Genomic DNA, 23880 nt, shown 5'->3' with positions numbered 1-23880 from the left:
GCCTTCCAGCCAACCGGCGGCTTGGGCTCCGACATCTTCTCCGACTGGAAATAAATAAATAAATCGCACGCCCTGCGGGGAGGAGCGGGTGGGGGTCTCACTGTGCCGCGTGCGGAGCGCTGGGGACGAGGGGTCGGAGGCACTCCTTTTTTAGCGCCGGGGGGCGGGGGCGCGGGCCAGAGCCGGGGCCGAGCCCTGGGCCGCGAAGGCGGCGGACTCCTTTCTGCGGCGGAGGGATCCGCGGCGGAGGCGGCCACGGCCGTAGTCGCTGCCTGAGAGTTGTTGTTTCCTCCTCCTCCTCCTCCGCCTCCGCCGCCGTTGCTTGAATGGTGGAGCCGAAGCTCGGCTCGTGAACACACACTGACAGCTATAGGGCAGGCGGCGGCACCGTCCCCGCTTCCCCTCGGCGGCGGGGTGTCCCGTCGGCGGCCCTGAAGTGACCCATAAACATGTCTTGTGAGAGGAAAGGCCTCTCGGAGCTGCGATCGGGTAAGTCGGGGGGCTGCCGGGGCCGCTGGCACCGGGCGATTCCGCCCGCGGTCCCCCGCCCCCCGCCGCCCGACCGCTCAGCCTGTGTGTCTCCCCGTCCCTCTCTCCCGCGCAGAGCTCTACTTCCTCATCGCCCGGTTCCTGGAAGATGGACCCTGTCAGCAGGCGGCTCAGGTACGGCGGCGCGCGGCGCGGGCCGGGCCGGCGCTCGCCGCTCGCGGGCGTGGGGGAGGGAGGCGGCGGCGGCGGGGCCGCGGCCCGGGGCGCGGGGCTCAGCTCTCCCCGCTTTGTTGTTGCAGGTGCTGATCCGCGAGGTGGCCGAGAAGGAGGTAAGGGCGGCGGCGGCCCGGCGCGTCCCGCCGCCGCGCGGCCGCCTCTGGGCCGCTGCGCCGCCGCTGCCGCCGCCGGCAGGGCGCGGGGCGCGGGGCTCGGGGTCCCCGCCGGGGCGCGGGGCGGGCGGGGGAGGGGAGCGGGCGGGTAGGGGCCGGGGGCCGGGCTCACGGGGTGTCCTCTCCCCGCAGCTGCTGCCCCGGCGCACCGACTGGACCGGGAAGGAGCATCCCAGGACCTACCAGAATCTGGTGAGACATTCACGTCGCAGAGCAAAGAAACTTTTCCCTGAGTCGAATAAAAATTGAATTTCCCGCAATTTTTTACAGAGACAAAAACTTGGCCCTAGAACGTGAAAGCTCCAAAGGCCATGGGGAGGGTTGGGAGGCCGGCGCGGGGTCTGCGGGGGCCAGTGGCCGGGGGTACTCGTACTTCGGGGCCGCAGGGGCTGCGGACAATTTATTTGTGATATTTTGTTAATGTGCTAGAAATAAAGATACGTCATGAGTGTTGTGCAGTGCAAGGCCGGAGGAGGAGGGGCCGGCGCGCGCGTCCGTGCGGGCGCGGGGGCGCGCGAGAGTCGGCGGCGGCGGGAGCGGCGCGAAGAGGGAGAGCGCGCTCGCTCGTTCGCTTGCTCGCTCTGCACGCGCGGCCGGCTCGGCTTTCTCCTGCCCTACACAATAGCTGGTGACTAACTGCTCCGAAGTGGCATTAGCATTTCACAAGCAGGCTATCCAGCCGCTGCGGTACCGTGGCAAGACATTATTTTTTCCCCCTCTGTCGTTTATTTTGTTTTCCTTAAATTCAGTCCTGGGTTTTTTGTTGGAAGGATTCTGATGTGTGATGATAGTTGGTCAGTGCTTCGTCTTGCATTTACTAAAACACATCTTTGCAGAAGTGTAAAGCCTGTAATTCCCTAAAACCAGAAGTTTAGTAGGCTTTTTTTAATTCTTATGGTATGCCTCTCGTTTAATTAAAAATTATTATTGGAGTACACTGAAGAGTTTTGATTTTTGTCCACATATTTACTGTGGGATGGAACTTGGCCTATGAAAGTTGTGTTTATATTGGGACATATTTTGTTTAATAGCTTAAAAACCTTAATTTTGTGGGTTGTCAAAATGAGTATTTTAGGAATCTTTAAAAATTGCTTTTCAGAAGTGGATTTATCACTTCAGTATTGTGATTGGAAGTTACTTTAAAGGAGCTATATTTTCTGTAACACTTTCTCCTAAACTGATACAGGTTCGTTGTGTGAATATGTGTGTGGGGCAGTTAAAGCAGTCGCACCGGACCCACCAAGCCTTTGAAATTTATGTAGTGTGTTGATTTTATGAGGCTTTTGTAACTGTTTTGAGATAGTTATGATTACTAATGTTACTTCATCAGAACTTCTCTAATGACTAGGAAGTTTCAGCGAGCTTAGAATGAGTGTCTTTTGTGAGGTGAAAGCAGGACATGATTATAATGGCGCTTTTTTTGGTATGTAGTGTATTTCCTAACTTTTGTGTATAAATCTCTTGTGGTTTAATATAAGATGTTGATAACCGCTCAAGGCTGTTGAAATAAGCAAGGGTACTGAGGTTTAATACATCTAATGGAGATTTAACAGTGTATTAGTGTATTCATTTTCACACTGAACGTGTGTTAATTTTCAAGGAGTGATTTGGGTTACTTTCATTCAATTCTTGGCCAAAGTGAATGGAGCTGGAAGTAAACTCCAAGATTTACTAATTTGAAATTAATTTTTAGGTTTACAAATACTTGATAGAAGTCTTCAGTGAATTTACATGTCTTCCTTGATATTTGAAAAAATTATCGCAAAGATTATAATACTCCATTTTTAAGATGGGGCAGGTTTTACAAAACTCGTCTTTGCATCTGCTTTTACATCTGTGCATCTCTTAAAAACCCACAAACCTTAAGTCACTGAGGAATGCTGCATTTTCTTAATCTTTTGGTAATGTTACATTTTTTAAATGAAGCAGCTTAATGTTATCTGGCTAAATTATGGTAATGGCTAATCCTCGTAGGAATATCATTTTGTTTTTTTGTTTTTTTTTTCAGTAAAAATGAGCTATCAATTTTGATTTTGAGTTAATTTAATTTTTGGGGGGAGGGTGGGGGGAGGAATTATTAGTAAAGTGAATTTCTATCCCTAGTCTGCATCGCAGATTTAAGATACAGTAAGCATTCTTTCTATCTATGTATTATGCTCAAAATTCACCTATTTTGAATGGAAGTGGTTTTTCTTGCTTGGAGTTTTCTCCTTACTAGAACAGGAACGTTGGCATACTCATCAGACAGTTTAGAAATCTTATTAGAACTTGGAGTTCTTTGACTCGTTTTCTCTTTTCATTCATTCAGCATATTGCTTACTCTATATCTACTGGATGCAAGGTACCATTTGAGGTGCTTTCTCATCCATCAAACTGTATATCTAGGTGTGTGAGTTAACTTTATTTTACCTTTTTAGTTGAGATTTAGTTAGGTCTAAAAACATTTGGAACACTGGATTTTTTTGTTCAATAGTTGATCTCGCTGTTTAATATCTAAGTCAGCACATGCAAAGTCTCTTGTACAGTATTTTCTATTTTAATTATTCTGACTTAAAAAGTTTTACGTTGTTGTATATCGAGTTGAATTTATTTAACATTGATTTGAAAATTACTTGTTGAGTCATTAGTTTCTACTCTACCTGGAAATGATTTGTTGTATTAACTAATAAACTGAGCAATATTTTAAATGGGAGAACTCATATATCACATCGCATTGAAATTTCTAGGAAACCTCAAATTATTGCTGCTTAAAATGGGGTGTAATATTTGTAGATGTGAATTTAAAAATAGTCACTGATCATCTGTAGTTAGTCTAGTTACAATCGCAATGGTTGAATTTTAATCAAGAGGAAAGTAGAATTTTAAGAGCAGTTTTAAAAGTTTGCAGGTTAAAATTGATGCGTTCATTTCAAGTGTGATTGAGAAAGGAAATGGTCGTATCTTATGGTTGTTTCTGTCTCTGGTATAAAACATGACTGATTATCACCATCTACCTTAAGATTTAAAACATTTTTAACAAAGTAAATGGAATTGGATAGGAAGCTAAAAGTTGTTTTTGGTACTATGGTATACGTTTAATTAGATTTTACATTTTTTAAAATATGAGATTTATTTTAAAGAAAAGGGGCACTTTTTCCAAGTATCAGAATTCTTAAACTGTAGAATAAAAAACTTTTTTTGGACGAAAGGAAAGCTTTGTCATTTGTTTATTTCTTAGTTTGAATAGTGAATCTAGTTAGTTTATTAAGTCTGCTTTCTAGTTGTCACTTAATGATGATTGCATATTTACGAGATCTAGAGGCAGAATTTTCAAGCATTTTACCGAATTTGGCACTCTCTTGATTACATTTTTTCTTGTAAGACTTCTCTTTTTTCCCCCCAAGAACTAGTTCATGTTTTGCCAATCTGTTAAAATGATTTAATTTTTTCCTTGTAAAATAGTGATACTTGCCTTTCTTAAAATTATTCCACTTTATTAGAAATCTTTTTTGTTTGTTTGCTTGTTTGTTTTAAGTGAAAGGATTGGGAGTCAGGAGATGTGGATTGTGGTTTTAAGCCCCGCTGACAGTTAAACTGTAGGTAATCTTGGGCAAGTCATGGAATTTCTCTTTGTCCCAGTTATCTCATTTGAAAAATAAGTGGATTGAAATTTTTTCAATCTGAAAATCTGTGATTTTGAACTAGAAATAGCAGTACATTGTATTTAAGAACTAAGCTTTATTTCATTCTTAGAGCTTAGTTTTCCAAAACACAGAAAAGTAGAAATCACATAGGTTACAAAATTATATAAATGCTTTTCATAGTGCCATTCTTTGGTGGTAATATCATTTCTTGTTGCAAAGATGATTTGAGACACTAACTACGTTGTAAAATGCCCCAAAATTACCATGATTTCCATCATAGTTTAAGTACTAGTTTTCATTATTGTTGGTCTCAAATTCAGAGATGAATAGGAATGATGGATAGGATTTATTTAAGTATATATCTTAGGTATACATTTATTTAGTGTGTGCTGATTAATGTGAAAGTTAAGGTATAAAACCTAGAGACAACTTTCAGGGAAAAAAAAAAGATATCATATTAAATGTTTTAGAAGTAGGGATTCCCATTCTATATTGAAGATAACATAGTTTCAACACTTGATTATTATAATTTTTTGGGGTTGGGTGAACATGTAATAAAGTAAATGTGTGTAGTTGTAGTAGAGTTACTATTTCCTTTTTTAGTAGAGTATCAATGAAATAGAAGCTTTGCGTGGTAGTCTCTAAAACAGCTTTAATCTCATATGGTCGTTATAATGATGAATAAAATATGTTAGGCGTGAAGGGTTATATGATGAATAAAATGTTAGGTGTGAATATGTTGCTGAGAGGCTGAAGGAGCATTCTTCATTCTTTCTTACATATAGAATTATTCTATTGATGCTTATACCATTTTTTAAAATTTGAGGCATTTACAAACTTTTTAAATGCAATACTTACTATATTGTTAATATTCTTAAATAGTTGTAAAGCGGCATGAGCATAAAGCGGGAGCTGGAATGTCCCTTTCCCAAACCATAATGGTTTTTATTTGATTGTTGTGAGGCAGAATCGTATTGAGGGAGTCTGTTTTCCATTCTGTAAAATGGGCTAATAATAGCTTCTACTTTGTGTGGTCTGTGAGTAATAACTGGCATGAATCAAGTACTATGTAAGGGTTTTGGTTTGCTATTATCAGAACTTTAGTAGTGGTAGTAAAGGTTGTTCTGCTTAGAGCTTTATAATAAAGTTTTCTTTAAGAAAAGCATTTACATTTTTATTCCAGGCACAAGTATGTATATACTTTCTGAACATAGAATCTGCAGTATAAAAAGGCCACATTAAAACTTCAGAAGAGTCCAGGTGTGGTGGCTCATGCCTGTAATCCCAGTACTTTGGGAGGCCATGAGTTGGAGACCAGCCTGGACAAAATGGAAAACCCCATCTCTACAAAAACTAAAAAAAAAAATTAGCCAGGTGTAGTGGCGCATGCCTGTAGTCCCAATTACCCCGAAGGCTGAGGTGAGAGGATCGCCTGAGCCCAGGGAGGTTGAAGCTGCAATAAGCTGTGCCCCATGCCACTGCCCTCCAGCGTGGGTGACACAGTGATACCCTGTCTCAAGAAAAGAAAAAAAAAATCTTCGGAAGATACTATAATTACTTTATAGACTCAAGGATGAAACAGGTCTAAAAAATAAAGGAAAAATGTTTAATACCAAAAATAAATCATGGTTAAGGCATTGTGGATAGACCTCTGGAAAAATTGTGCTACTGATTTCTACTGTGACTTGTTTTTATGGAACACTGAACATTAAGAAATAATTTGGGTGGTTGACATATCCTGAATGGATTAGAGAATATGCAAAGCTTTTTTTCTTTGGGTAATCATCAAATGACATTTAGGAATATATGAAGAGAATTTGGCTATGGCGTCTGCCTCCTTCTATACAGTTATTTGTGAGATTTACAACCATCACAATAGTTTGTATTCTTTTTGGAAACTGTCAGAGAAGAGATGTCTTGACTTCTGTTTTGTCAATCTGTTTATATATATTTTAAACAGAATTCAAGAAAGACTTTAGCTTTAGGTAAAATAAATCCTAACCGATTTCAGTTTTTTAGTTGATTCAGAATTTCTTTGTAAGTTAGTTTTTGGTTTTCTTTTTTTTTTTCATAATCTGGAAAGTTGTGGATGAATAATAAGAAAATAATAATAATAATAGTCTAATGCAGCTTCAGCTTAAGTTAAAACCAATTGACAGTCATTCTTCCCTTTCTCAAGTTTTGTGGGTATTTACCATGTCACTACAGAATTGTAACAAATAAAATGTATCTTGTACAACTTACTCTGAACAAGTAATACTAAATAGGTTAGTTTCATTCTTACTAGTAGTTTCCTTGTATAAATTTCAGAATTCATAGAAAAATATCTGTAATACTAAGCTAAGTAGCCTTTAGTTGCCAGAGAATACCAAACATACTTATTTAAAATAACTTCCTATTTTAATGCACTTTTACTTAGAAAAAAATTTTTAACAGCTAATTTTAGGATATTTAAGTTGCTTTTGTGGTTATATCTAAAAGTGGCAAAGGCTATTATAGGAATCAAATTTAAAATTTTAGAAAGACATTTTAAATGTGAACATTCTCAGTTTCTATTATTTTTTGAGAAGCTATGTCAATGAAATTATGAGGAAATTGTGAGTTAATAAATTACTTTGCAGTGAATAATGTTATTGGACCTATGGAATATAGAGGAGTGTAAGTATTTTATAACAAATTGGTGAAAATGATAACATGTTTTTTCTTGATGGAATTTGATAAAGCAGGGTACTGAAAAATCACAAACTGTTATCTTATTGAATAGTGATGAATGTAAGTTGACAAGTTACTACAGAGAAGGCAATCATCAGTTGTGAGGCAGGTCCTCCTTTATTTACCTTACACACTCAAAAACAGCCGTATTTGAGCTTAGGCATCACAGGTAAGAAAAGGATGGTTGGATGAGGAGTTTTTGATAAGAAAATTTAGGTGGCAACATAGTCGAATGCAGCTTCTTCTTATATTAAAACTAAATTGTAAGGAGAATGAGATGTGTGGTATAGGTAAGCCCTAGGTTATCCATGACAGTACAGATGGCTATGGCAGGTTTTTTTGCAGAAGAGACACAGGAAGAATTCATGTACAGCAGGCCTTCCTTATCTGCGGGTGTCACATCTGTGAATTCAACTGTAGATCAAAATAGTTTAGAAAAAAATACATAAAAAATTTTTAAAATACATTGTAACAATTATTTACATAACATTTACGTTGTATTAGATATTATAAGTAATCTAGAGATGATTTAAAGTGTGCAGGAGGAGTGTAAAGGTTATACGAAAATACTGTGCCAGTTTATATGAGGAATTAGAGCATCCTGGATTTTGATTTTGGTGTGGGGTTTCCTGGAACCATTCCCCCATGAAGATTGGAGGATGACTGTGTTCTGGACTCCAGCTGACCCATGGTCATGTGTCATGGTCTATTTGGTCTCTGTCATGAATAGAAAAAGGCATGTAACTTGTCTTGGGAAAGGTTATAGTATAATGCAAGAAATACATACCTTGTGTTTGACTCTGGTTTAGTTTTTGGGTGTAGAGACACTAAATTCTAGGCAACTTAGTGAAACATCCGTTGTCTGAAACAACTTTGCTGTCATTGTATAAGAATTGTGTTATTTTGAGTACTGTGCTTGAAACTGAAACATTAAAAATGAAACTGGTCATTCAAGATTATTTACATTGGCCTTAGTATAAGCAGTTAAAGGATGTTTCGTCCTTAAATTAATACACAGTAACTTTTCATCAGATTCCTAGATTTGAGTTTAACGTTTTACTAATAATGCTTTAAAGAGAATTTTAAAATTACACAAATTAGCACATATGACGACTTAAACATCAAAACTTGAAAATTTGTTATTTTAAGCAGTTAAATGTTGTCATTTTGTTGTATTTTAAATTATTTTTTATGGAGCATCCCTACTTTGGTTTATGGAAACCTCAATTCTGAATAGAGTCTCTTTTTTTTAGCAAGATGTAATTGGTTTATGATGAATAAAATTTGGAAGCGTAGTATTGCATTTTCTTTTTTTGTTTGTTTTTCTTATAGTATTGCATTTTCTTTAAATGACAAATTTGTGTTGGTATTTGTATTGATAATGTAAACTGAATTATTATCTAAATGAATTCTTAACAGTTAAGTAAATTCTGAATATGACATATTCTTTGAAGCTTGTTTATTCACAATTACTTGAGCAAATAGACCATCAAGATTTTTACACTTAATAAGGTTCTATATTAATTTTATTATAATTATAAAGAAATAATAGGCATCTAAGGGTCCTTCTGAGAATAGTTACCCAGGTTAGAGGACTTGACTTGTACTGACTTATATGGGTTCTATTAAGTTTTTAATCAAATCTACGTGTCGATGGGGAGAAAAACTAAAGTTCTAATAAGGAAGCTGTAACATAATAAAAATATCAGTAAACTTGGAATCAGGAGACCTGGGTTTGATTACTATTTCTCCTATTTTCCAAATGTGTGCCCTCAGACAAACTGCTGCCTTTGAACTTCAGTTTTCTTTATGTATGAAATAGGGAGAGTAGTTAAGCTTATGTGCTTATGAAGATAAATAAATTTTGGGAACACTCAGCACAAAGTAAGTACTCTGTTTTTCTGTGGAGAAGCTATTACAGTTAAAAAATCAGAAAATGCATTCTTTCTTTAAAGATTATAGATATAATTTAACCCACACTGTTAGTAACAGATTTATAATTGTAAGCTTGGATGTTTTTAGAATTTTAGGGGCTGGGATTTTAATATAGGCCTTACACAGTAATTATCACATAGTATTTCTATAAATTTATATTTATATATTGTATATTATATATTATAAATAATAAAATATAATTAATGTATATACAATATATTGTATTTCTATAATTTTGTTTATATGCTACAGTAGTGTACAAATAAGAACTATATTCCAATAAACTGGCCTTTTAGAACTCAAAAACATAATAGAGAGCAGAAGTGTAACTAGCCTTTTATATCTGACAAAACTGTGAGAGAATAGATTTGAGAAGATCTGAAAAACTGACTTTTTTAGAACCAATTAGGTGTTCAGAACATAAGGATGAAGTGAAAGCCTAGTTAGACAAATGATACTGGTGCCAAACAGCAGGGTCTTATTTTCATAATAATTATATACTAGAGGAAAGAAGGGCACTTCTAGGTCTTCACAGCTAAATCAAATAATTGGAATGAATATATTGATCTAACATCACTTTGAAAAGGTTGTTAAAAACATGCTCAAATTTTTTTCCTATTTAGATTTACAAAGATTTTGTTCAACACGAAGGGTCAATATGTAATATAGAATGTAATTAAAGTAACAGCCAACTGTTAGGTACAGTACTAACTGCTTCATATGGTTTAATTTAATAATTTATGACTACTTTCCAAGGTGGTGACTGTTGTGATACCAGTCATACAGATGAGGACACTGAGGCTTAGAAAGAGTAAATGTTTTTCCCACCCTCAGCCTTAGCAACTTTAAACCCAGGCTGTGTGACTTGAGATTTCGTGGGGTTTTTTGTTTATTTCGCTTTGTTTTTGAGACAAAGTCTTGCCCTGTCACTCAGGCTGGTGTGCAGTGGCATGATCTTGGCTCACTGCAACCTCTGTCTCCAGGGTTCAGGCAATTCTCCTGCTTCAGCCTCCTGAGTATCTGGGACTACAGGCACGTGCCACCACGTCCGGCTAATTTTTGTATTTTTGGTAGAGACGGGGTTTCACCATGCTGGCAGGGCTGGTCTTGAACTCCTGACCTCAAGTGATCCATCAGCCTCAGCCTCCCAAAGTGCTGGGATTACAGGCATGAGCTACCATGCCCAGTGAGATTTCGCATTTTAAACTACTGACCATTTCTTTAAAAACTGAGTAGAGTTCTTAGTGACTGTAAGTCTGGTAGAATGCAGCAGCTTCCAGATCCATTGTATTTTCTTCCTACTGATAACACTTGCCTTTTAACAATACCTTCCACTGAGATAATGGCAAAATTTTTTGGCTGGGAAGGATGGCTGTTTATGTGAAGTAGCATACTATCAGAAAATGTTGTTTTAGCCAAAAATGCGGGATAATAAACCTCTCAAAGAGCTCAGTTTCTTGTTTCTTCCATACTGTAATTCACATTCTCAGAAGATGACCCTTTTGTTCAAATTGCAATGGATAATTTTAGAAATACTTTATATATGTGATCTGGAAAAGGGATGATACAGATTTATGACTTGGGCCAAGATGGACAAGGAATGAGCAGAGTTGCTGCTGTTTCACAGAATTCTTTTGTTCTTGCTGATGGAAACGTTGCTAGAACCATGAATCATTCTTTCGATCAGGGGGTGGTAAACTAATGGCTGCTGTGGGTAAATTGTGCAGGAGATCTGTTTTTGGAAGGCCATTAAGCTAAGCATTGTTATTGCATTTTTAAAGAATTGTTTTTAAAAAATAAGAACATGCAATGGAGATAGTATATTATTCTTAAAGCCTCAAATATTTACCATATGATGGTTACAAATGTTTGCTGACTTGCACTCTAAATAATATAACATGATATTTTAAAAAAAGGATACCTTTGGCTAATTCAAATTTTAACTATGAAAAAGAGTTAAAATGGATGGACAGTTAGCCAAAGATTGTTGTTCCCATAGCAAGCAACTCAACTGAGAACGGAGGTGGAAGGGACATAAGTTTGAAAAAGCTCTGACTAGCCTCCTGGTTTAGCCAGTAGAGGTGTGAATCTCAATGGGATGGCATCAGGATTTGCATCCATAGGGCCCATTCTTGCATCTTATTGGAGGAGAGAAAATGTTTTGTTCATCAAAAAGGGATGAGAGCTAGGCATGGTGGCTCATACATGTAATCCTAGCTACTTGAGAGGCTGAGGCAGGAGGATCACTTGAGGCCAGGAGTTCCAGACTAGCCTGGGCAGCATAGAGAGATGCTGTATCTAAAAAAATAAAATAAAAATTAGGTGTGATGTAACGCACCTATAGTCTCAGCTGCTCTGGAGGCTGAGGTCGGAGGATCGTTTGAGCCCAGGAATTTGAGGCTGCAATGAGCTGTGACTGTGCCCCCTAGCCTTGGTAACAGAACGAGATCCCCCTGCCCCCTTAAAAAACAAACAAAAACAAAACCAGGGTGGATGAGTTTAAAAAGTTTTGAGCACTACTGATACATGGGCATTCTTGGGGAAATTTAAAAAATAGTAACAAATTTGGTATTAACTCTTTAATCTGTTTTTACTTTCTAATTTTAAATTAAGGGTTTAGAGCAGTATAATCTTATAAATATTGTAGTTTTATCTTCTACTTTTACCCTTAGAATTTTTTAAAGTGTTCCCTTTTACCTATAGGAATTTATGCTTTTATGCTAGTTTCCTTAGTAGTGCAAGTGAACTGTGAAATGTTTCTCTTTTTCTGGCTCAGTTTAATGTCTGTTGAAAACTATTCAAAATGTCTGTTGTATGACTTGCTTATATCTTGCACATTGATATATACACATATTTGAGGTAATAGGTCATTTGTGTGATAGTATGAATTGTAGGGTCCAGAGTTAGATTGCTATGGTTTGACTCTCTTATGTGCTGTGTTTGAACTTGGGAAGGTCTCAATATCTTTTTAAATAAATTCTATAATTTTTTTATAGAATGGGAATAATGATAGTATATACCTCTCAGAGTTATGAGTAGTTCCATGTAAAACTTACCACACTTACCATAGGGCCTGGCATTCAGTGTGCAGCCAATATGTGTTAGCTATATTAGTATAATTTATCACACTGACTTTATAATCTGGTCATACTTTTTATGTCTTGAATGTTAAGAATTTGAAAGCACTTAGGGTCACAGAAAGTAACTCGTATATCAGAAATTGGGGATCTTGAGGGGTTATTTTTCCCCTGAAATAATATTGTATGGCAGATTACTGAGAAACCACATATATACAATATAGTAAGAGATTTTATTATTATATTATTTTAAATGTGTCTTTTAATTATTTACCAGTGAAATAAAAGCTAATTTAAATTAAAAGCTTAAGTTTATATTAAAGATATGGGGTTCTTACTAAGTTGAAAACTGAAAATCACATATGTATATCTGTAAATAATGGATTAATATTTATGAAGAATATGAATATGATTAATATGTTTATAAAGAATGTTTAGAAAAAGTAGAAAAGATTGTTTTATTTTAAAAAATATTTTTGTTTATTCTGTGTGTGTGTGTGTGTGTGTGTGTGTGTGTGTGTGTGTGTGGTATAGTTAAGAGCAAAAAGATTCATGGCCCCTGCTCTTTTGTAGTTAATGGTGAAGTAGAAAAACATTAAATTACACTTTTAAATGTATAATCACAAGCCAATATATTGAGTTAATAAAGGAAAGTCACAGGAAGTGTGCAACCAAGAAAACAGACTTGGATTGTGTAGAGTATAGAAAAACAAAGGAAGTTACATTAGAGGGAAGATCTGAGACACATGGAAGAGTTGTCTGGGCAAGGAAGTGTGGGGAAATGCAGAGTGTATGCTATATGATAAAGTCTGACAGGAGAGAGAGATTATGCGTAAATAACCTGAAAGAAGGCCATGTGTTTGAAACGTGAAAAGTGAGAGTTGGGGAAAGGGACTGGGAATGTGCCAGGTGAAGCTAGAAAAATAAGAAGTGACCATACATGCATTTCTGGGCTGATAGACCAAGTTAAGGATTTGGATCTTTATCCAAAGAGTGAGGAAAGCATCAGAAGTGTTTTAAGTAGGGGTGACTTGATCCAATATGTATTTTGGAAAGAACATTCTAATTGCAGTATAGAGAATAGATTTGAATGGGGCATGAGTGCATATGGGAAAGGTATGCATTTATTGCAAAGATTATTTGGACTGTTATGGAGATACAGGTAGATGGATTTAAAAATAGGAAGGAAAAATTAAGTTGAACTTGGTGACTGCTTGGATATTGGGAATATGATGGGAAGGAGGAAGGAATGAACTGTGTGCAAAATGCAGCTCCTTGGTTTCTGGCTTCCAAGGTTGGATAAATGGGGTTGACATCCACCCAGGTAGGGAACACTTTAGTGGGGAATGTTTTCATGAGGATCCATCAATTCAGTTTTGCATATGTTGAGTTTCAGATGCTTTGGGGCTCTAGAGAGCTGTTTTAAGAAAGTTTGCTATGCAAGTCTATGCTATAAATAGAAATTTGGCAATCATTGTTATAACAATTGTCCAAAGAGAGAGTATATAGTGAGAAGAAAAGAGGATCTGGAACTGGACTCTGGTACCTAGGATCTTAAGGAACTTCACTATTTAATGGCTATATAGAGGAGTATAAGCCTAAAAGAAAAATGAGAAGGAATGGTTGGAGAGGAAGAAAGCAAGCCAAGGAGTGTCACAAAAGTTAAGAGAAGATAGTTTGCAAATGAGGAAGTGTTCAACAGTTAGGTGAAATATTATGGGACATTAAATAAGGTATAGATTTAAAAATGCTTATTGGAGTTATTGATAATTGAAGGTGAACTTTTGATAAGAGCTATTTTTTGTAAAGTCATGAGTGTGGGAGCTAGTGTGGAGTAGATTGAGGAGAGGATGGGATACGAAATTAGATGGACTATGGACCATTCTTTTAAAAACATGTTTCCGGAGAGGAAGAGAACGGGAAAGGGGTAGCCAGGATATTTGGGTGGGGAGGTGTTGGATAATAGCAGTTAGGCAGGATTTTTGTTTTTTCCTAAAGTGGATGCAAAATGAGCATGTTTACATGTAGATGGGAAGGAGTTGGTTGAGAGGAAGTTAGTGTACATACTAGAATGTGGAGGTCTAATTTATAGTGTAGGATTTCCGTGCAGTCAGAGAAGTTAGGATTCAAAGCATAAGTAGAGGGATTGGATCTTAAATATTTATTAAGAGGGACAGTTGTGTTAATAAGAGACAGAATTGGTACAGGTGTAGATAGGTTTACAGATTTGATAGGGAAGAAACAAAGCTTCAGCTTTAAAAAAGGTTCTCCTGTAAAGTAGGTTAGGTCATCTGCTGAGAAAATGAGGGGTGGGGAAGAGGATTCTTGGGAAAGAGAGGATAATAGCATTGTTTGTTAGTCTGTTTCCACTGTTCTTTCCAGAGACCCTTTCATGGTGGTACCTCAGGGACTGCTAAGAGGAAGCAAGTAGAGAGTCAAGCATTGAGATATGTGTTCCCTGATGCCACTTAAGTAAGATACTTTCTGAGTACCTTTACTTTAATCTGTTTTGTCTAAAATTTGTTTGAAGACATGTTCTAAGGCTTTCTTTAAAAAGTGTTTTAAAACTGTTAGAATTGGCCGGACGCTGTGGCTCATGCCTGTAATCCCAGCACTTGGGAGGCCTAGGGGGCGAATTACTTGAGGTCAGAAGTTCGAGACCAGCCTGGTCAACATGGCAAAACCCCGTCTCTACTAAAAATACAAAAATTAGCCAGGTTAGGTGGTGGGGCGCCTGTAATTCCAGCTACTCGGGAGGCGAGGCAGGAGAATCACTTGAACCTGGGAGGCGGAGGTTGCAGTGAGCCGAGATCCCGCCATTGTACTCCGTCCTGGGTGACAGAGGGAGACTCCGTCTCAAAACAAACAAACTCACCCCAAAACTATTAGAATAAAGAATTATACCATGTAAAAAAATTTTACTGCATCTATTTTTATGTGCTGGGATAGGTGCTAACAAAATGTTTTGGGTTTTTTGAGAGTGGGGAAGTCAGTCGTTTCTGCATATTCTTAAATCTTCATATATCCAACTAGAACTTTATTAAGCACTTAACTATAAGTACTGCATTAGGTATTGGGTAGACAGAGGTAAACATGGCCCAATCTCTCCTTATGCAGGACACAGACAAGTAAACTGGCAATTTTAGTATAGTGCATGAGTCTTATGAACCCCCAAAACAGGGCACATAATGGTAGGGCTTGTGTATTTTTGCAGGGAAGAAGATCGTAGCTGTCATTAGATTCTTAAAAGTCTAAGTATCAAAATATATTAAGAACAATTAATATGGTAAGTACTACACAGTGCTAGAGGGATGAAGGGACATTCGAGGAGTATAATGTGCTGTGGGAACACAAAGTGTCCAAAAAGGGGCACAGGTGGTGTAAATAGGTCATGGAAGGCAGTGAGTGAGACATAGACTGAGACATGAAGGAGAATGAGGTGTAGAGGTGAGCAGGTAAGACAAGATTGCCAGCAGAGGCATCAGCTTGTATAAAGTCTCAAAAGCCAGAGAAAGCACAAGGAATTTAAGAACTGGAAGTATCTCTTCTAACTTTAAAATGAAAGTTGATTTTGAAAAATTCAAACATTCTAAATCACCAAAGAAAGCTTGAGTCAGAGTGGATTCATAATATTTTATTGAAAGATAGAATATTACAGTAAGGATTTTCAGTTTCACTACCTGAAAATATATTTTGCCAGAGGATACTAAAACAGGATCATCACACATCTGAAGTTAATAAGTAATGAACTTCCATCTTCTTTAAAGTAAAATTTTTAAAAGGAATTTTGATCAATTAAGTCACATTAAAATAATCATTTGCAAGCTTAGAACTGGAAGCAACCTTACAAGTATTCTAGACTTCTAAATTTTATTTTTGAGTAAATTATTTTGGGGAAGATTAAAGAAAAGTATACGATTTTAAAAACTCATTTTGGTAAGTTTTCTTTTAAATGCTTTTTAATTTAGCTAATCATACTAGTGTTTCCTAAAGTATGTTCTGAGTGAATATGATAGATATTATTAGGGAAAAAAGGGATTCTGTAGCTAAATGAGTTTGGGAAATAATCTCAGGATTTTTCAGAGACTTCAATGTCAGTGTGCTTTTTGACTGCAAAACAAGGAGGTAATATGTATAATTCATATGATACAAACTGTATTAGAACTCCTTTTTCCAAAAATACTCATTTTACTGGCTTATCACCTACTGTATGCCAAACTGCTGTTTTAAATAATCTTACCAAAGATTATTTGGTGGCAGTATGGCTCCATGTTATCTTTGTGAAAGAAGGAGTGTATTTTGATAAAGAGTAAGGTAGGTTTCTCCTATTGGCTTCAGTTTAGATGGGTATTAGCTACCTTTAAAAACATATCATTCATGGATTTCTGCAGTTAAGAGTATAGCAGATATTGCAAGATGGAATGAGATGATTTAAATCCTCACCTCCCCCCACATCAGTCTTATCAAAAGGAATTCATGTTAAAGTTGCCATTACTTGGTAAACTTGAGGAACAATTTTCAAATTTCTTGGTCTTAGGACCCCTTTACACTTACTAAAATGTATTGAAGTTCCTTTATTTGTGTAGCTTATAATCTATTGGTATTTACCATATTAGAAACTTAGCATTTAACATATTGGAGACCTATTAAATAATACTAATAAACTAATCTTATTTTAATATAAGTAACATTTTTATAATAATTATTCCCAAACAAAACAAATTTGTGAGAAGCGTGGCATTGTTTTACATTTCTGTGAATCTTTAATATCTGGCTTAATAGAGGAGACATTTTCCTATCTGCTTCTGCATTCAGTCTGTTAAGACATCACATGTTATGTGTCCTGTGGAAACCTCCACCGTGCATTCATGAGAAAAAGTGAAAAACAACTAATATAGTGTTATTCATAAGTTTTATCTGAGGGACCTCCAGGGGTTCCCAAAACATACTTTGAGAATAGCTGAACTAGATACTACTGTGGAAATTTTTTTCTAACTTGATAGCTAATTATGAAGTAATACAATAGTATTTTTTTCCAATATAATTTTATTTAGATAGTGAATATTGTTTATTTACTGAAAGACTAATAAAAATATTAGCATTTCATGTCATGGTTTCAAATGCCGGTATAAATTAAGCAGTATTTTGAAGTTGTTCCAAAAGTGCTCAAACTTTTTATAGTGGGTAGCTTTATTTTATGATTGAAAGATATTTAAAGCAGCAGTTGGAATTTTGCCTTTCTCTCTGTAAGGTTTTTGGTAAATTATGAAATTCAGCATAGATGTTAAGTGTTCTTAAATTTTTTAATAACAAACTATCAGTTCTTAATTCTTAATTATTCTGGAGATTTACTTTACATCAAAGACGCAAAACAAAATATTTTATACTTGGATGAATTTTTTTATTGTTGCTCAAAGATTTTGAAAATTAAAATGATAAACTGAAACCTACTATATTTGTCTTTTACATAATAGGTGAAGTATTACAGACACTTAGCACCTGATCACTTGCTGCAAATATGTCATCGACTAGGACCTCTTCTTGAACAAGAAATTCCTCAAAGTGTTCCTGGAGTACAAACTTTATTAGGAGCTGGAAGACAGTCTTTACTACGCACAAATAAAAGTATGAAAATTTTCTCATAGGATTTAGACATTATTTATCTCACTTTTGTTTTTGTGTTCTTTGTATGCATAAAAATACATGTGTTTAATAGGCTGCAAGCATGTTGTGTGGAAAGGATCTGCTCTGGCTGCGTTGCACTGTGGAAGACCACCTGAGTCACCAGTTAACTATGGTAGCCCACCCAGCATTGGTGAGTTGTTTGAGTTCACTAGTAGTTAATAGCCTCTTGGTAAAGAGCTTTTGAAAATGAAAAGGTTTTTTAGTTACTGTGGTATTAGAGAACTTCATATTATGTACATCTGCATTCAAAAAGAAAAAAATAGATTTTTTTTCTTAGTAGTAGTTTTAATAGTGAAAAAGTCATGTATAATGAGGGATTGTGCACATTGCACCTTATGTAGGCCAATTAGCTCATTGGAATTTTATTTTTACGAAAGTTCCATATTAAGGTATATATTATTAGGTCGAGTTAGTAGAATCAATATATAATTCAGATTAGTTATAATGGTAGGAGACAAAAGTAGTTATCTTTTTAAGAGCACAGTACTTTTTTTTTTTTTTCTTTTTTTGGCTAAAGTTTCAAAGAGGGAGTACTGATGCAAGTATGTCTTCTTGAGATGCCTCCTAGGTTCATGCCTTTCACATCTGCTACTACCAGGCCCTTGCCTTACCCGGATTAATACAGCATCATCCAAACTAATCTTCTTGCCTATGGTGTCTTCTATCTCTCTCTCCCTCCCAGTATAGTGTGTAACACTGTAATAGTAACCTTATTCAGTTCTACCTTTGTTGTGTCACTCTTCTGCTGAAGATAGTATAAAGAGGTTAAGATATTTTAATAGTGTTGTACTTTCTCTAAGTGTACTCCTAATTTTCAGAGACCTTCAAAGTTCAATCATAGCTTCTTTTCCACTCTCATGTTCCTGCCTAGCCAGGAATGTTACTCTTCTTTCTTCCACCTGTTCAAATCTTACTTAATTCTTCCTTTTCTGGATACTTATTATACAGATCGTAAGTTTATATGACTTTTGTTTGGCATTTTTATATATATATATATATATATATATATATATATAATTTTGCTTTCAACTTTTTGTTTCCTTTTATTTCTTGTCTTTTAAAAATATAAAAGTGGCTTTTAAAAATACAATATGATAATCTGTGTTTTATCTGGAACATTTAGTCATTTACATATAATCATTGATGTACTTGGGTTTAAATCTACTATCTAACTTGCTACTTTGAAGGCAATCCCTTTTTCTCTAATTGTTTTTAAGATTTTTTCTCTTTCTGGTTTTCTGCAGTTTGAGTATGATATGTCTTGATGTTAATTTTTTAAAAATTTGTCTTGCTTAGATTCTGGAAATGTCTTTTATTGACATTGAAAAATTCTCAGTCATTATCTTAAAATAACCTCTGTGTTCCTTTCTCTCTCCTTTCCTATGGGACTTAAACACTTTATCTGCTTCGTTATCCTTTCTTCTATGTTTTACATGTTTTTGACTCTCTGATGTATTCTGAATTGTTTGCTCTGACTTACTTTTCAGAGATAACGTATGTGATATCTGCGTGGTGGGTAATCATCTATGATTTTTTTTAAAACATAAGATTGTCCTGTTTAAATAATTTCAATATATAATCTTGCTATAATAAACAACCATTAAAACAACAAAAAAATTTGAGAGACGAGGGTATATTTGTACTTAGAAAAGTATTCTAAGGTGGTATAATAGGATTCCTGCAAGAAGGGAAAGATAAAATATTATAGGAGTTTTCCCATTTAGGAAAAGTTTATCCTGTCTTTGAAAAACTATAGATCCACATAATAAGGAGAACACGTTATGCTTGTTCTTTCAGTACATTGTCAGTCAGGCCTGTGGTAGGTAATGAAAGTGTAAGAATGATTGATGGTAAATAACATTTGCTTTGTGAGTAATTCCTGTATGCCAGACACTGTTCTAAGCATTTTCTATTTATTTACTCTTTTAAAACCTTAAATGTTCTATAGGTAGGAACTATTATGCTTATTTTACAGAGGAGACTGAAGCATGGAAAGATTTTGGTAACTTGACCAAGTTCACACATGCAGTGAGAAGTGAAGCCAGGATTCAACCCAGACTGTTTGACTCCATTATGCTATGCTTTATTCCCAGTAAACTGAATTTATTAATAATAACACTTGGCTACTCAAGAAAATTGGTGTTAGTCATTTTTTGTAAAAGGGAACCAAATATTTATAAAATCAAATATAATATTTTAGGCCACGTCGTTGATGGTCAGATTAGTAAATACTGCTGACAAGGAGAGAGGAACATTTATCTTCCCTTATTCACAGGAGATACATTCTGAGATCCGTAGTGGATGTCGGAGACAACAGATGGTACAGAACCCTATATATACGTATGGCAAAAATACCTTGGGTTTTGCATCCAAGCATAGAAATGTAATTGATTCATTTAGGTAACAGAATTAATTGCCAAGCAGGTGATTGATGTACCTTTCTGAAAGACTATTTTATTTTTAGAGTTTAAGATAATTTTTTTCTCTCTCTCTTCCATTGTGATTTTCAGGAAAATCTTTGCTTTATTTTAAGAAACACCTGTAGTGGATTGCCCATTTTGCCTACTTTTAAAAATTGTATTTACATATATTTTTTGAAAGCACTGCAGAGAAGCTAGACTGACCAAAATGACTCAACTTGCATAGTCATAGGTTAGTGTCTGTGTTTTGCTAGAGTTCACCATGGTATATATTTTGTTTTATTATCGCTATAAAGTAATGAACAGGATGGTGTTGGGGAGAAATAATTCATCAGTCTTCTTGCCAGAATAGTTGCCTGCATAGTGGTACAATGCATTATTTCAAGCTGTTACAGTATGGTTCAGAAGATTGAAAAAAATATATATGAATGTTTGTAGTACTGACTTATTTCTTCTTTTGTTGAGTCTTTGCCATTTTCTGTCTGGCTACCTTTAAAAGTTTTCTTTGCTCTTTCCTTGGTCAGTGTGGTATTACCAAGTATCAGTGGAGGTAAGAAAAAATTCTTGATATTTTAGCTTTTCTTAAGATACGTACGTAGATTTAAACGTTTAATATAGATCCCAAATATTAAAATTTTGACACATTTGGGGTAGTAGTTTTTCTTTAAATAAACTTTTAATTTTGGAGTAAGAAATTATTTACTGAGAAGTTACACAGATGGTTTAAAGAGCTCCTGTATACCCCTCATGCAGTTTCCCCAAATGTTATACTTTTGCATTACCTGGTCTATTTCTCAGAACTACTAAGCCAATATTGGTGCATTACTGTTAACTAAACAGCAGACCTTATTCATGTCTCACTAAGTTTTCCCACTAATTACGTTTTCTTATTCCAGGATCCAGTCCAGGATACCGTACTTGACATAGGGTTTGTTAATTTTTTATTGGACTCCTTACTGTAGTTCAGAGGATAATTTTAGGTTAAGCTTGTGGCAAAATTGGATTTTCTTAGATATTTCAAACCATATGGAAACTGTTGGACCTCTTGAATATCTCACATTCATCTCAAACTTAAAAATACCTAAAATGTAATTTTTGACACTCTCTGAACCTTGTTACTCCAAGCCAGAAGCCTGGAGATAATTTTATTTTAGATTTACTGTTCATTTCTTATGTCCGTTTAATAAATAATACCTGTTTATTCTACTTTCTTGAATTTGTTCTCCATTATCATTGCCACAGCCACATTTCAGGCCTTGGTACTTCTTGCTTGGAGTTCTACATTATTCATTCACTCGCTGAGTAAATATTGTATATCTCTAATTATATCTGGCACTGGGCTAGGGTCTGGAGTTGCGGATAAGCAAGAACAAGACCTCTGCTCTCCCAGAACTTAATTGCTACTTGAGCCCCTGCCCCTAGTCTATTCCTGTATGTATCCTAGGAGTCAGATTCTAACCAGGGTTTTTTAACCTTGGCACTGTTGAGACATTTTGGGCCAGATAATTCCTGGATGTAGGCAGCTTTCCTGTGCATTGTTGGATGTTTATTAGCATCCCTGGCCTCTGCTTGCTAATTGCCAGTAGCATCCCCACTACCCCCTTGTCACAATTTAAAAAGTCTCCAGACATTGCCAAATATCTCCTGGGCAAAATTATCACTGCTCTAAACTTTTTGAAGTGCACATATTACCATGTCATGCCTCCTCCTTTCCCCCATTGAGAGTGACTGAATGATAGTGTCAACCATTTTAATGTGTCACACAAGACTGACCTTTTCCCACTTTTCCTGCCATGTCCTCACCTGCACTTTGTGCTCTAGCTTAGTACAACTCTTTGGCAGTTCTTAGAATCAGCCATGTTGGTTTTCATCCTTTTGTCTCCTCACATGTTTTATTTCTCCCTGGAATGCCCCTCTGTTTTCTGTACGTTGTACAAATATCTGTTTATCCTTTAAAACTCAGATGTTAAACTGGGCAGAATTAAGTGGTTTTACTTATCTCTACTATTGATTTTATCACATGGTTATGGCTATTTATTTACCTTTGTTTCCTCTACTATACTGTTAGGTCCTGGAGGACAGACATTATGTTTTATTGCTCTTTAGAGACCCAACTCTTCAGCATTAGTAAATATTAAATGAAAAGTAGTAGGTAGTTGATGAAATTCATACACTGGGATGGGACAAGTAAAGTTCAAAGGTGGGTAAGGTATTACAAAAATGGAATGAAGGTTGGTAGAAAGAAGAGAAGCTTGATCCAAGAATAGCTTTGTGGTAAGAGAAGATAAAATCACCAAACCAGAAACTGATTTTTAAGAAATTAAGGTTTATGAGTAGACTGAGTTATCAGTTCATTACACTTGGAATATAAAATACATACCTATACAATTTGAGAAGCCACTTGAGCTTGTCTCAGTGTTTTCTTATCCTGTTTTATTTTATTATGTGCTTAGAATTCCCAACTACTTTGAACCTTTTGGTCTTTGATGTAAGTTGTGAAAATTGAACTAGAACTCAGTCTCAGCAAGAGACCCAAAGTGGTTCACCTGCCTTCCAGTGCTCTAGAACCTCCTTTAATACTGTTTTCAAAAGCAAAGACAAAAGATCCCACTGATCTGTTGTTATTACTAGCTTGTGATTCTTTTATTGTGGAAGAGAGATGTGAGTGTGTACTTGGCATAGCAGCATTTACTTCCAAAGGTATTAGCGAATCTTTAGTATTGTCCTTTCTCTTACCTCCATACCCACATTATGCCTGTTTTCAGATATAGTTTATTCTATATTTGCTTATACTTCAGTAATAAATGTGCATGAGTAAGGGGAGATAGGAAAGAAGAGACCTAAATACATTAAAGGGGTTTTTAAGATTAAATTTGGAAGTTGGTTTAATGCATGTTTATCTTGTGAAAAAGATTGTAATACATTAAATTAAAGCAATTTCTGCTGATTGCTTTGTTTGCATTTTTCTTACATTTGACATGTTAGCAAAGTAAACTTTTTATCTCTAGGTCTTTCATTTGTCATCGTTTTTGGTGTTTTGCCTAAGTATTTCCATATTTTTATTTTACTTGTCTGTGGAGGTTTGCTATTAAGTTCTGCAGTTTTGTGTGAGGATAAGGAGTTTTGAGAATCCTGATTCTTAAACATGTTTGAGGGTAAGGAAAAAACTTTGCCTTGAAAAGTAGCTTCACTACCCAGACATCCAATTAATGCTAAGAAGCCTTTGCATTTAAAAAAAAAAAAAGTCTTAAATCTTGTCTACATTTATAATTTTGTGATTCTCTGAGAAGACTAGTTTGAATAAAGACAGCAAACAGTCACTTAAAGCTAGATGCAAATCTTTGTAGAGAAGACTCTTCTTTCTCACCTTGTGCTATATTTTGCCATATTTCCAATATTGTGTTTGAATTTTCTGTAGCTGGTAATTTCTTAAATTTATTCAATCAAGGTTTTTTTTTCTTAGACTCTTAGGTTTATATTTTTCCTCATATATTTCTTACATAATTATTAGAATTTTTTTATATTACAAATATATGAGATTACATAATTT

At 36.0% G+C, this 23880-nt stretch overlaps 1 protein-coding gene, 1 long non-coding RNA gene and 1 pseudogene across 5 annotated transcripts in view, besides 3 other annotated features; 2 read left to right on the top strand and 1 right to left on the bottom strand.

The window, feature by feature from the left end:
• Positions 7–246: a silencer, noted in NCBI's record as "silent region_17347". NCBI's record gives its function as "represses an Ori minimal core promoter by ATAC-STARR-seq in GM12878 lymphoblastoid cells {active_cell/tissue: GM12878}" and the evidence as "EXISTENCE:reporter gene assay evidence [ECO:0000049][PMID:35858748]".
• PHIP (PHIP subunit of CUL4-Ring ligase complex) overlaps positions 264–23880 on the top strand; it is a 143836-nt gene continuing 120219 nt past the window's right edge. For 3 of the 4 annotated variants that reach the window (XM_005248729.6, NM_017934.7, XM_011535919.2), the window contains exons 1-6: positions 264–489; positions 605–663; positions 789–818; positions 1011–1070; positions 17700–17850; positions 17942–18040. In XM_005248729.6, the coding sequence (XP_005248786.1) occupies positions 450–489; positions 605–663; positions 789–818; positions 1011–1070; positions 17700–17850; positions 17942–18040 (439 nt within the window). In that variant the 5' untranslated portion in view covers positions 264–449. Of the gene's footprint in view, positions 490–604; positions 664–788; positions 819–1010; positions 1071–9343; positions 14698–17699; positions 17851–17941; positions 18041–23880 lie in introns of those variants that run through there. The other variant, XM_011535918.4, reaches the window with a different exon arrangement.
• Positions 377–546: a silencer, noted in NCBI's record as "silent region_17346". NCBI's record gives its function as "represses an Ori minimal core promoter by ATAC-STARR-seq in GM12878 lymphoblastoid cells {active_cell/tissue: GM12878}" and the evidence as "EXISTENCE:reporter gene assay evidence [ECO:0000049][PMID:35858748]".
• Positions 1046–1545: a silencer, noted in NCBI's record as "silent region_17345". NCBI's record gives its function as "represses an Ori minimal core promoter by ATAC-STARR-seq in GM12878 lymphoblastoid cells {active_cell/tissue: GM12878}" and the evidence as "EXISTENCE:reporter gene assay evidence [ECO:0000049][PMID:35858748]".
• LOC124901346 (uncharacterized) overlaps positions 1252–23880 on the bottom strand; it is a 73415-nt gene continuing 50786 nt past the window's right edge. The window contains exon 2 of the long non-coding RNA XR_007059652.1: positions 1252–7627. This is a non-coding gene — a long non-coding RNA (uncharacterized LOC124901346). The remainder of the gene's footprint in view (positions 7628–23880) is intronic.
• Positions 10384–10828, top strand: LOC100419073 (nucleoporin 155kDa pseudogene; annotated as a pseudogene).

The sequence above is a fragment of the Homo sapiens genome, chromosome 6 (genome assembly GCF_000001405.40).
Source record: "Homo sapiens chromosome 6, GRCh38.p14 Primary Assembly".
NCBI classification, from domain to species: Eukaryota; Metazoa; Chordata; class Mammalia; order Primates; family Hominidae; genus Homo; species Homo sapiens.
Note: the sequence above shows the minus strand (reverse complement) of the source record. Positions and strands in the feature narration are given on the sequence as shown.